This window comes from Homo sapiens, chromosome 5 (assembly GCF_000001405.40).
Source record: "Homo sapiens chromosome 5, GRCh38.p14 Primary Assembly".
NCBI classification, from domain to species: domain Eukaryota; kingdom Metazoa; phylum Chordata; class Mammalia; order Primates; family Hominidae; genus Homo; species Homo sapiens.
In genome coordinates, this window is record NC_000005.10 from 114161 (window position 1) to 126618 (window position 12458).

Here is a 12458-nt window from a genome sequence, read left to right on the forward strand (position 1 = left end):
TTGATGGCTGCTGACTGATCATGGAAGTGGTTGCGGAAGGCTGGGGTGGCTGTGGCAGCTTCTTAAAATGAGACCACAATGAAGTTTTCCACATTGACTCTTCCTTTTATGAACGATTACTCCGACAGGCAATACTGTTTGACAGCATTTTACCCACCATAGAACTTCGTTCAGAATTGGAGTCGATCCTCTCACATCCTTCTGTTTATCAACTAAGTTTATGGAGTACTCTAAATCCTTTGTTGTCATTTCAACAGTGTTCACAGCATCTTCATCAGGAGCAGATTCCATATTTTGGTGTTTGTTTGTTTTTTTGAGATGGAGTCTTGCTCTGTCACCCAGGCTGGAGTACAGTGGTGCAATCTCAGCTCACTGCGACCTCCGCCACCCAGGTTCAAGCAATTCTCCTGCCTCAGCCTCCTGAGTAGCTGGGATTACAGGCACCCACCACCATGCCTGGCTGATTTTTGTGTTTTTAGTAGAGGTGGGTTTCACCATGTTGGCCAGGCTGGTCTTAAACTCCTGACCTCAGGTGATCCACCCGCCCCAGCCTCCCAACAGATTCCATCTTAATAAACCATGTTCTTTGCTCATCCATAAGAAGCAATTCCTCATCCATTCAAGATTTATCCTGAGATTGCAGCAGTTCAGTTACATCTTCAGGCTCCACTTCTAATCCTAGTTCTCTTGGTATTTTCCCCACATCTGCAGTTCCTTCCTCCATGGGAGGCTTGAACCCCTCAGTGTCATCCATGAGGGTTGGAATCAACCTCTTCTAAACTCCCCTTCATGTTGATATTCTGACCTCCTCTCATGAATCTTAAATATTCATAATAGCATCCAGAATGGTGAATCCTTTCCAGAGGTTTACAATGTGCTTTGCTGAGATCCATCAGAGGAATCACTCTCTATGGCAGCTATAGTCTTACAAAATGTATTTCTTAAAAAGACTTGAAAGTCAAAATTACTCTTGAGCCATAGGCTGCAGAATGGATTTTGTGTTACCACAGATGGAAACATTTATCTGCTTGTACATCTTCATCAGAGCTCTTGGGTGACCACATGTACTGTTGGTGAGCAGTAATATTTTGAAAGGAATCTTTTTTTCTGAGCAGTGGGTCTCAACAGTGGGCTTAAAATATCGAGTAAACCATGCTGTAAACAGACGTGCTGTCATCCAGGCTTTGTTGTTCTATTTATAGAGCAAGGCCAAGTAGACTGAGCATGATTCTTAGGGGCCCTGGGAGGTTCAGAATGGTCCATAAGCATCAGCTTCAACTGAAAGTCCCCAGCTGCACCAGCTCCTAACAAGAGAGTCAGCTTGTCCTTTGAAGCTTTGAAGGCAGGCATTGACTTTGCCTCTCTAGCTAGGAAAGTCCCAGACAGCATCTTCTTCCAATAGAAGGCTGTTTTGTCTACGTTGAAAATCTGTTGTTAAGCACAGCCACCTTCATCAATGGTCTTAGCCAGATCTTCTGGATTACTTGCTGCAGCTTCTCCATCAGTACCTGCTGCTTCACCTTGCATTTTTACGTTAAGGAGATGGCTTCTTTCCTTAAACCTCATGAACTCACCTCTGTTAGCTTCAAGCTTTTCTTCTGCAGCTTCCTCACCTCTCTCAGCCTTCATAGAACTGAAGAAAGTTAGGGGCTTCATCTGGGTTAGGCTTTGGCTTAAGGGAATGTTGTATCTAGGGTTTGCTCTTCTATCCAGACCACAAAGACTTTCTCCATGTCAGCAATAAGGCTGTTTCTCTTTCATATCATTTGTGTGTTCCTTAGAGTGGACTTTTAATTTCCTTCGGTAGCTTTTCTTTAGTGTTTACAGCTTAGCTGACTTCTAGGTGCAGGAGGCCTAGCTTTTGGCCTGGCTGGGGCATTCAGCATGCCTTTCTCACAAAGCTTAATCATTTTTAGCTTTTGATTTAACATGAGAGATGTCCAACTCTTCCTTTGACTTGAACGCTTAGATGCCATTGCAGGGTTGTTACTTAGCCTAATTTCAATATTATTGTGTCTTAGGGAATAGGGAGGCCCAAGGAAAGGGAGAGAGATGGAGGAATGGCCAAGTCAGTGGAGCAGACTTCGGAACACACACAATGTTTATTGATTAAGTTTGCTGTCTTATATTGGCATGGTTCATGGCACACCAAAACAATTACAATAGTAACATCAAAGGACTCTGATTATAGATCATCATAACAGATATAATAATAATGAAGGAGTTTGAAATATTGTGAGAATTACCAAAATGTGACACAGAGACACAGGGTTGCCACAAATCTTCAGTACGTGAAAAATGCATTATCTGCAGAGCTCAATCAGCTGGAACACAGTAAAACAAGATATGTCTGTACATACAGATAAGTCCCACTTAATGAATTTATTGTATGTTTAGTCTGTTTCTTGGGATATTTATGCTGTAGTTGTTCTTGAGGCCGGGGTAAAACTGTAGTGATAGCCGGGTTGTGGGTGTGTTGCAGCGAGCTGCTGGAAGGCACCTGGCTAGGTCCTAAAAAGCACAGCCTTTCTTAACAGCACAACTTAGCACTCCACTGAAATTGAATTAGGGCGTTGTTTTGAAACTACCACTGGGCCACTTTGGTTTATTAGACTCGTTGAGTGTCTTTTGGTTAGAATGACAGGGCTAGGGGAGGGGCCAGGCACAACCTAGATTTGATTCCTTATGTGAGGTGGTCTGTTCAGAAGACGTTTTCCTTTGTGAGGATGTACCTTTTGCATATTGCAAGGATGTTGACTGATGTGGGGAAGAAACAGAGAGGTGCCTGCTGGAGCCCCACTGCTTTCGCTGCGTCTGAAAACGCGTGGCTGCTTTCAAAGGCCTGCCTGTTTCACCTTCTTTCTGTGAAGTTTCTTTTTCCTCTCATTTTAATCAAAAACCATCCCTCTCCCAACCTACAAAATTGCTTGTCTTCTGGAAACGTCATGTGAATTATGGTACTTTAATATGGATGCATATTTACTAGTACTTAATAAGCACAACACAAAACTTAGGGACAGTCTACTTGATTTTATATTAATTTTTGCTTTTGAATGATAAAAATAAAATTTGTTCATCTCTATAACAGGAGAAAAATGCATTTACCTTAACTGCTATGAATAGATGAATATAAACAGTTGATATAAGTTCAATTCTGTTTTTATTCATTTATCCACTGTTGTCAAAATATGTGGTTGGGAAATCATTATTAATAATATTAATATTGAGATAAATGGTCATGTGAAGCTAAGACTTGAGTGATTACTGTTGCCTGTCTCCCAACCCTCAGCCAATAAATGACATGCTTAATCACTTATCAAGTTATTTGTCACTTTGTTTCATCACAATTTGAGAAATGTGATGGAGAAGACACATATCCAGAAATGTGTCTGGAGAAGTTTAGAGAAAAGGGCCCGGTGCGGTGGCTCACACCTGTAATCCCAGCACTTTGGGAGGCCGAGGAGGGTGGATCACCTGAGGTCAGGAATTCGAGACCAGCCTGGCCAACATGGCAAAACCCCATCTCTACTAAAAACACAAAAGTTAGCCGGGCGTGGTGGCAGGTGCCTGTAGTCCCAGCTACTCAGGAGGCTGAGGCAGGAGAATCTCTTGAACCCAGGAGATAGAAGTTGCAGTGAGCTAGGATTGTGCCACTACACTCCATCCTGGGCAACAGAGTGAGACTGTCTCAAAAAGAACAAAAAACGTTTAGGGAAAAGTAATCAGAAAAATATAGAAACAGGATATTTCCATAAAAGAGAGACAGAAGTGAGCTGGGAATTAGAATAAAATAAATGAAATCAATCAAATAGAAATCAGAAAAGGAGGAGGGAGTTAACAGAATAAAGCCATGGGAAGTAAAAAGCACAATGTCTGTGACACGAGTCTAAAAAATAATAGACCAGCAACATTCAAAGGATTACTGGTGTGGCAATGTTCATAACAAACTAAATATCATAAAAGGCAAAGTGCATCATTGTTGGGTCTAAAGAAGATCATTCAATAATAATACTAGTAACAAAAAGCCAGGAAGACATGATCTGTGAACCCCTAACAACATAGTCCAAAAATGTGTGAAATATAAATGGACAGAATTGCCAGGAGAAATCCAGAATTACCGTAGGAGATTTCACCTCTCTCAAAAGCAGACGGGGTAAGCAGACCACACACTGCTTGGGATATACATTAAACACACTGACTCTCTTCCATTATGGGGCATACGTAGAGTGCTGAGCCCAGCAACTTTAGAATCCTTCCCAAGTACACATGGATCACTTTCCAAAGTTAACCAAAATCTGATAAAATTCTTGTCCATTTAGAAACATTTATCTCAAGGGTGTATGATCTCTTTGTGTTATTTTTGCTCTCAAGATTACAATATGCATCTTTAACTCACTACAGCCTAACTTCAATTAATATTTTAAAGTTCATGAGGGTTGGAATCAACCTCTTCTAAACTCCCCTTCATGTTGGTATTTTGACTTCCTCTCATGAATCTTAAATGTTCATAATAGCATCCAGAATGGTGAATCCTTTCCAGAGGTTTACAATGTACTTTGCCCAGATCTAGGGTAATAATACCTCTCAGTAGTATAATTTCATTTGCTCCCCAACACTTTGTCTTTTGTTGTCATATATTATATATATATATGATTAGAGGATATTGGAGAGCCCACATTCTTCTCCTCCTCCTTCTTTTTTTTTTTTTGAGACAGGGTCTCACTCTGTCACCCAGGCTGGAGTGCAGTGGTGCGATCATGGCTCACTACAGCCTTGACCTCCTGGGCTCAAGCGATCCTCCCACCTCAGCTTCCAAACTAGCTAGGACTACAGGCGTGTGCCACCACACCTGGCTAATTATTTTATTTTTAAAATTTTTTGTAGAGATGGGCTTTCAGTATGTTTCCCAGGCTGGTCTCAAACTCCTGGGCTTAAGTGATCCTCCTGCCTCAGCCTCCCAAACCACTGGGATTACAGGTGTGCGCCACCATGCCCAGCCTTCTTAAGTGTACATGTAGCTTACTAGGATTGACCATTGTCCGTAAAGTGTCAACAAATACCAAAGAATTTATATCTAAAGGCCACAGTGCAATAAAACTAGAAATCAACAACAAGAAACCCTTACATTTGGAAAATGTTTTTACCCATTTATGTTTAATGTTCCATTATTGGAACACTAAGCTTGTGGGAGTTATTTATATCCTACTGCTGAATGTCATCGCCAAGGTCTGATTTTTCACACACAAAAAATTTGCAACCTCCAGCATAAATGGGTTAATGTACTGCTAAATAAAGGATGACAAAACCACCAAGGAAATTGTCAAAATATTTAGAGCCAAAGAACAGATGTGTCCAGTTACAATGTGGAGGAACATGAAGACCTTTACCACCAAAACAATAAGAAACCCCTAGAGGAGCCTACACAATTGCATCGTCCTTCAAAGCCACCCAAGAGGTATGGATATGGAAGACACCTAAAAGGACCAAACTGTGGAGAGACAGTGCCGTCCTAAATGAGTAAATAACAGAAGCCACTGTCATGCCTGGGGCCAGTCACTGAGGCTGGAGGAGGATGGAGAGGGGAGCAAGCCCACTAGAGAAGGACCTTCTTTGCTGAGACAAGGAGAAATCAGCAAAATTTAGGAAACCTCTGGGCTGACAGATTAGAATCTGAAGGAGCCTTGAATGCACGTGGATCTTCTCTACCAAGTAATTCTCTTATAGGGAATTTTGCTGAGTAAGTGGAAATGGAAGGAGGGACTAGAAAGCAAAAAGAAATCTCAGAATCTCATAGTCACATGGGCTGGGTGCACTGGCATTATCACGCCTGTAATCCCAGCACTTTGCAAGGCTGTGGGGGAGAATCGCTTGAGCCCAGGAGTTCAGTAGCATCCTGGGCAACATGTGAGAGCACAGCTCTACAAGAATTTTTCTAAAACTTAACCAGTCATGGTGGGTGGTGCATGCCTGTGGTCCCAGCTACTTGGGAGGCAGAGGTAAGAGGATTACTTGAGCCTGGGAGATGGAAGCTGCAGTGAGCTCTGATAGTACCACTGCACTTGGCCTGGGCAACACAGCAAGACCCTGCTTCAAAAGCTAAATTATAGTCATACAGTTCCAAAGAGTTGTGATCTCCAACTCTTACAGTCTCATGGTCTCAAAATCTCATCGTCTAACAGTCTTAAAATTTCAGTCCCACGGTTTCAACATCTCTCAGTTCTTATTCCAGACTCCCCCTGGAGAGAGAGAGATGGACTCACCATCAAAGGATTTGAAACTAGAGATAGGCTGAAATTAATCAACCTTAAAACCAAACTCCACCCAATTAAAATCTGATAAGAAGGTCCTGGTGGCCAGTGAAGTCTGAGGCTGGGCTGAAAGGTGGAGAGAGATCTCATTGCACTCCTGTAGCTTTAATTCCAAGGCTTTCATAGAGGAATTAAAGCCACAACCCTGCCCCAAATTGGCTCTGTTTCCAAATGCATTACACTGATAAGCCCCTCACCTAACTGCCTAACAGAAGAAAGAACATTTCCTCTTGAAAGGAAACATGCCTGCATTAGACAAAATCTCTGAGATAAAATTTAAGAATTGGTGATTTGCAAAGGTACCAGATTTTATCAGTTCATAAATAACAGCAAAATTCTCAATAGAAACAGACCACCCAGGTGTTGGAATTATCAGACAGAGACTTCTTAAAAACTATAATAAATATATTAAATAACCTATAAGTAATATGGCAGATGAAGTAGATGAAGAGGTGGAGAGTTTCAGATTTCGAAAGTATTTTAAAAGAAGAAAATGGGCCAGGTGTGGTGGCTCACGCCTGTAATCCCAGCACTTTGGGAGGCTGAGGCAGGCGGATCACGAGGTCAGGAGATCGAGACCATCCTGGCTAACACGGTGAAACTCCATCTCTACTAAAAATACAAAAAAATTAGCCAGTCATGGTGGCGGGTGCCTGTAGTCCCAGCTACTCGGGAGGCTGAGGCAGGAGAATGGCGTGAACCCGGGAGGTGGAGCTTGCAGTGAGCCGAGATCGTGCCACTGCACTCCAGCCTGGGTGACAGAGTGAGACTCCGTCTAAAAAAAAAAAGAAAAAGAAAATGGAAATCTCCAAACTAAAAAATACAAGATCTGTAATTAAAATGCTTAGTGAATGGGATTAATGCAGATTGGACACAACAAAGAAAGGATACATGAATTTGAAGACTTGCCAAAGAAAGTCATCCAAATGGAAGCACAGAGAGAAAGGAGAATGAGGAAACAATGAACAAAACCTCAGTAACTGGTGTCATTATCAAGCAGTCGAAATGTGTATAGTTGCATTCACAGAAGGGGAGGAAAGTGAGAAAAGGGCAGGACAAATAAAGAAGTATTGTTAGATTTTTTTCAATTTGTTTAAAACCGGAAACACCTGAATCCAGGAAGCTCGTCATCACCTGACAGAGGAAGGAGGCAAACTGCATGCATCAGGGAACAGTAAGAATGACCGATGACTTCCTCAGAAGCACTGGGCTTCAGAAGACAATGGAAAAACATCTTTTAAGTGTTGAAAGAAAAAAATTCTATATCCAGCAAAAATAAATGTCTACATCCAGCAAAAATATCTTTCAAACATGAAGGCAAAATAATGACACTTTTAGGTTAATAAAAGAGTAGACCAGCAGAGGTGAATAAAAGAAATGCCAAAGGGTGGTCTTTAGGTTGAAGGGAAATGATACTAGATAGGTGAAGGGTACAAGAAAGGCTAAATACGTGAGTAAATATGAATGTCTTTAAAAGATTATTAACTACTTAGATCAGTGTATCATGGGGTTTTTAATCAATGTAAAAGTAAAATATATGACAACAAAAGCACAAAATGTTGGGGAAAGTAAATGAAATTATACTACTGAAAGGTTATTACATTGTTTCGAATTTTAAAATATTAATTGAAGTTAGGCTGTAGTGAGTTAAAGATGCATATTGTAATCTTGAGAGCAAAAATAACACAAAGAGATACAACTAAATATTCAAGAGATAAAATGGAATCCAAAAAATAGAGGATGAAAGGAAGAACAAAAGAACAAAGAATAGATTGAACAAATAGAAATTATATAACAAGATGATAGATTTGATTCAACCATATCAATAATTATTTTAAATGTAAACCAAACACTCCATGTAAAAGGCAGAAATGGACAGACTCAAAAAAAGGCAAGAGCAACTGAACGTTCGTTGTATAAAATGCCCTTTATTTTTATTTATTTATTTATTTATTTATTTATTTATTTTTAGATGGAGTCTTGCACTGTCTCCTGGGCTGGAGTACGGTGGTGCGATCTTAGCTCCCTGCAACCTCTGCCTCCCAGGTTCAAGCAGTTCTCCTGCCTCAGCCTCCCGAATAGCTGGGATTACAGGCATCCACCACCACGCCCAGCTAATTTTTTGTATTTTTAGTAGAGATGGGGTTTCACCATGTTGGCCAGGCTGGTCAGATCTCCTGACATCAGGTGATCCACCTGCCTCGGCCTCCCAAAGTGCTGGGATTACAGACATGAGCCACCGCACCTGGCCAAAATGCCCTTTAAATATAAAGACACACAAAAATGGAACCTAAAAAAATGGGAAAATACCACTAAGTGTAAGAAAGTATGTGGTGGATTAATATCAGATAAGTAAGATTTCAAGACAATGAGTATTACCAGAGACAGATAGGGACAATTTGTGGCAACAAAAGGCTCAATTTATCAACACAGTACCTAATAATAGAGTTTCAAAATACATAAAACCAAACAATTGTCAGCAGTAAATGTCGATTTTTTACCCTCTCCTCTCAGCAATTCATAGAACAATTGGAAAAAAAATCGTTAAGAATATCAAAAACCTGAACAACGTTAATAATAAACTTGACCTATTTGACATTTATAGAACATTGCACACAACAAATGCAGAATACACATTCTTTTGAAGGTCACATTGAACCACTTCACAAAATAAACTACATACTGTAGATGATTTTTTTCAAAGTATCAATAATTTTCTAAGGACAGAGATCAGAGTTTTTTTTTTCTGACTACAGTGTTATTAAACCAAAGCTCAATAACATAAAAGAGATAACTAGAAACTCACAAAATACTTGGAAATTATGTATTTCTAAATAATCCATGGGTAGAAAAGATTACAATGTCCATAAGGGATATTAGTCTATATTTTTCTTTTGTCTGATATCTTGGTAATGCTTCTTAGAATGAGTTAGGAAGTATTCCCTCCTCTTTAATTTTTTGGAAAAATTAGAGAAGGGGTGGTATTCTTCTTTAAATGTTTGGTAAAATTCACCAATGCAACCATGAGTTCCAGGCTTTTCTTTGTTAAAAGATTTTTAAATTACTGATTCAATCTACTTAGCAGTCATAGGTATATGCACATTTTAAATTTCTTCCTGATTTAATCTTGGTAGGCTTTGTGTCTCTAGGAATTAATCTAGATTATCCAATTTATTGATGTACAGCTAATAATAATTTTTCATAATCCTTTTTATTTCTGTAGAATCAGTAGTAAGTAATATCCCCTCTTTAATCTGATTTTAGTAACATGAATCTTCTTTTTTCAGTCCACTTGGCTAAAGGTTTGTCAACTTTTTTTATCTTTCCAAAGAACCAATTGTTGGTTTCATCCATTTTGTCTCACGTTTTTCTATTCTTTCATGTATCTCTGTTCTAATCTTTATTGTTTCCTTTCATCTGCTAGCTTTGGGTTTAGTTTTTTTCTTCTTTTTCTAGTTCCTTAAGTTGTAAAGTTAGGTTGTTGATTTGCGATCTTTACTTTTTAAAAATGTAAGCATTTATAGCTATAAATTTCCCCCTTAATGCTGCTTTTGCTGCCTCCCGTAAGTTGTAATATGTTGTGTTTTTGTTTTCATTTCACTTCAAACATTTTCTCATTTTTCTTGTGATTTCCTTTTTGATCCATTGTTGATTAATTTCCACAATTTTGTGAATTTTTCAGTCTTATTTCTGTTATTGACTTCCAACTTCATCCCTTTGTGATCGGCGAAGATAATTTGTATGATATCTATCTTTTTAAGTTTACCGAGACTTAATTTGTGGCCTAACATATGTTCTACCCTGGAAGTTGTCTCATGTGTGCACTTGAGAAGCATGTGTATGTCCAGCAAAAATACCTTTCAAACATGAAGGCAGAATAATGACACTGCTGGCTAGAGTGTTCTGCATATGTCTGTTAGATGGAGTTGATTTATGGTGTTGTTAAAGTCCTCCATTTTTAAAAATACATCTTCTGTCTGGTTCTTCTGTCCATTGACAGTGAAACAGTGAGGTATTGAAGTCTCCAACAATTATTGTAGAGCTGTCTGTGTCTGTCTTCAGTTCTGTTAGTTTTTGCTGCATACATTTTGATGGTCTGTCATTTGGTCTGTAAATGTCTATAATTGTTATATCTTCTTGCTGTATTTAACCTTTTCTTAATATATAAGGTTCTTCATGGTATCTGGTAACATTTTATGATTTAATGTCTATTTTATCTGACATTAGTATAGTCATTCCTGCTGTCTCTTGGTTACTATTTGTGTGGATATATTTTTCCGTCTTTTCAGTTTGGATCTGTTTATGTCTTTGAATCTCAAGTGAGTCTTTTGTGGACACCATATAGTTGGATCATGTGGGATTTTTTCAAAAATCCATTTTGCAGGCTGGGTGTGGTGGCTCACACCTGTAATCCCAGCAGTTTGGGAGGCCAAGGTGGGTGGATCACCTGAGGTCAGGAGTTTGAGACAGCCTGGCCAACATGGTGAAACCCCGTCTCTACTAAAAATACAAAAATTAGCTGGGTGTGGAGGCGTGCGACTGTAATCCCAGCTACTTGGGAGGCTGAGGCACGAGAATCCCTTGAACCCAGGAGGCAGAGGTTGCAGTGAGCTGAGATCACACCACTCAACTCCAGCCTGAGTGACAGAGTGAGACTTAAAAAAAAATCAATTTTGCCAGTTTCTGTCTCTTGATTGGGTAACACATTTATGTTTAAAGTAGTTACTGATAAACAGGGGCTCCTGTCATTTGTCCATTTGTTTTCTATGTATGTGCTGTATAGCTTTTTTGTCCATTTCCTGCATTACTGTCTTCTTCAGTGTTTAGTTGATTTTTTGTAGTAAAAGTCTTAAATTCTTTCCTTGTTTCCTTTTGTGTACATTCTATAGCTATTTTCCTTTTGATTACCATGGGGATTACACTTATTATCCTAAAGTTATAACACTAATTTGAATTTATACAAGTTTAACATTAATAACATAAAAAAATTCTGTTCCTTTACAGCTCTGTCTCACCCCTTTTGGTTGCTGATGTCAGAAAATTACATCTTTATACTTTATTAGTATGAAGTATTACTAATTATTACTAGTAGTATGAAGTATTAAACATAATCTAATAATTCTTATAAATATATTAGTGTCTTAAATCATGTAGAAAACAAAAAGGCAGTTACAAGCCATTGTTACAATAATACTAGCTTTCATAATTTGCATATATTTACCTGTATTGAAATCTTTATTTCTTCATAGTCCTTCAAGTTACTGTCTAATGTTCTTTGAGTTCACCTTGCTGGACTCCGTTGTTTCTGCAGGGTGGGTCTAGTGGTAACAAATCCCCCCAGCTTTTGTTTATCTGGGAATGTCTTAATTTCACTCTCACTTTTGAAGCATAGTTTTGCTAGATATGAGTCCTTGTCAACAGGATTTTTTTCTTTTATCATTTTGAATGTTTTGTCCCACTGCCTTCTGGACTTGAAAGATTCTGATGCAAAATATGCCGACAATCTTATTAAGGTTGTTGCATGTGATGAGTCACTTCTATCTTGCTGCTTTCAGGATTCTTTGTCTTTGTCATTCAAAAGCTGGATTATAATGTGTTTTGGTGTGGGTCTCTTTGACTTCCTCTTACTTGGAGCTTATCAGGCTTCTTGGATGTTTGTATTCATGTCTTTCCTCAAATTTGGGAAGTTTTCACACATTATTTCTTCAAATATTCTATGCCTTTTTACTCTCCTTCTGGAACTCCCATTTTACATATGCTGGCTGCTCGATGGTATCCCACAGGTCTTTTAGGCTTTGTTCACTTTTCTTTCTTCTGCCTGCTCAAATCCACCTTTGAACCCCTTTAGTGAATTTTTCATTTCAGTTATTATACTTTTCAGCTCCAGAATTTGTTTGGCTTCTTTTTAGGATTTTTAATATCTTTGTTGATATTTTCACTTTTTCATACATCACTTTATTTTCTTCACATCTTTCTTTAGTTTTTTGAGCATCTTTAAGACTGTTGTTTTAAAGTCTTTTCCTAGTAGGTCTACTATCAAGTCTTTTCCAGGGACAGTTTCTAATTATTTTTTCCATTGAATGGAACATACTTTCCTGTTTGTTTGAAGGCCTCATGACATTTTGTTGAAAATTGGACATTTGAATCTAA

General features: G+C 38.8%; 1 protein-coding gene across 1 annotated transcript in view; it reads left to right on the plus strand.

Moving 5' to 3' along the window:
* Positions 1–12458, plus strand: part of PLEKHG4B (pleckstrin homology and RhoGEF domain containing G4B) — a 97799-nt gene that overhangs the window by 21993 nt on the left and 63348 nt on the right. The window lies entirely within an intron of this gene.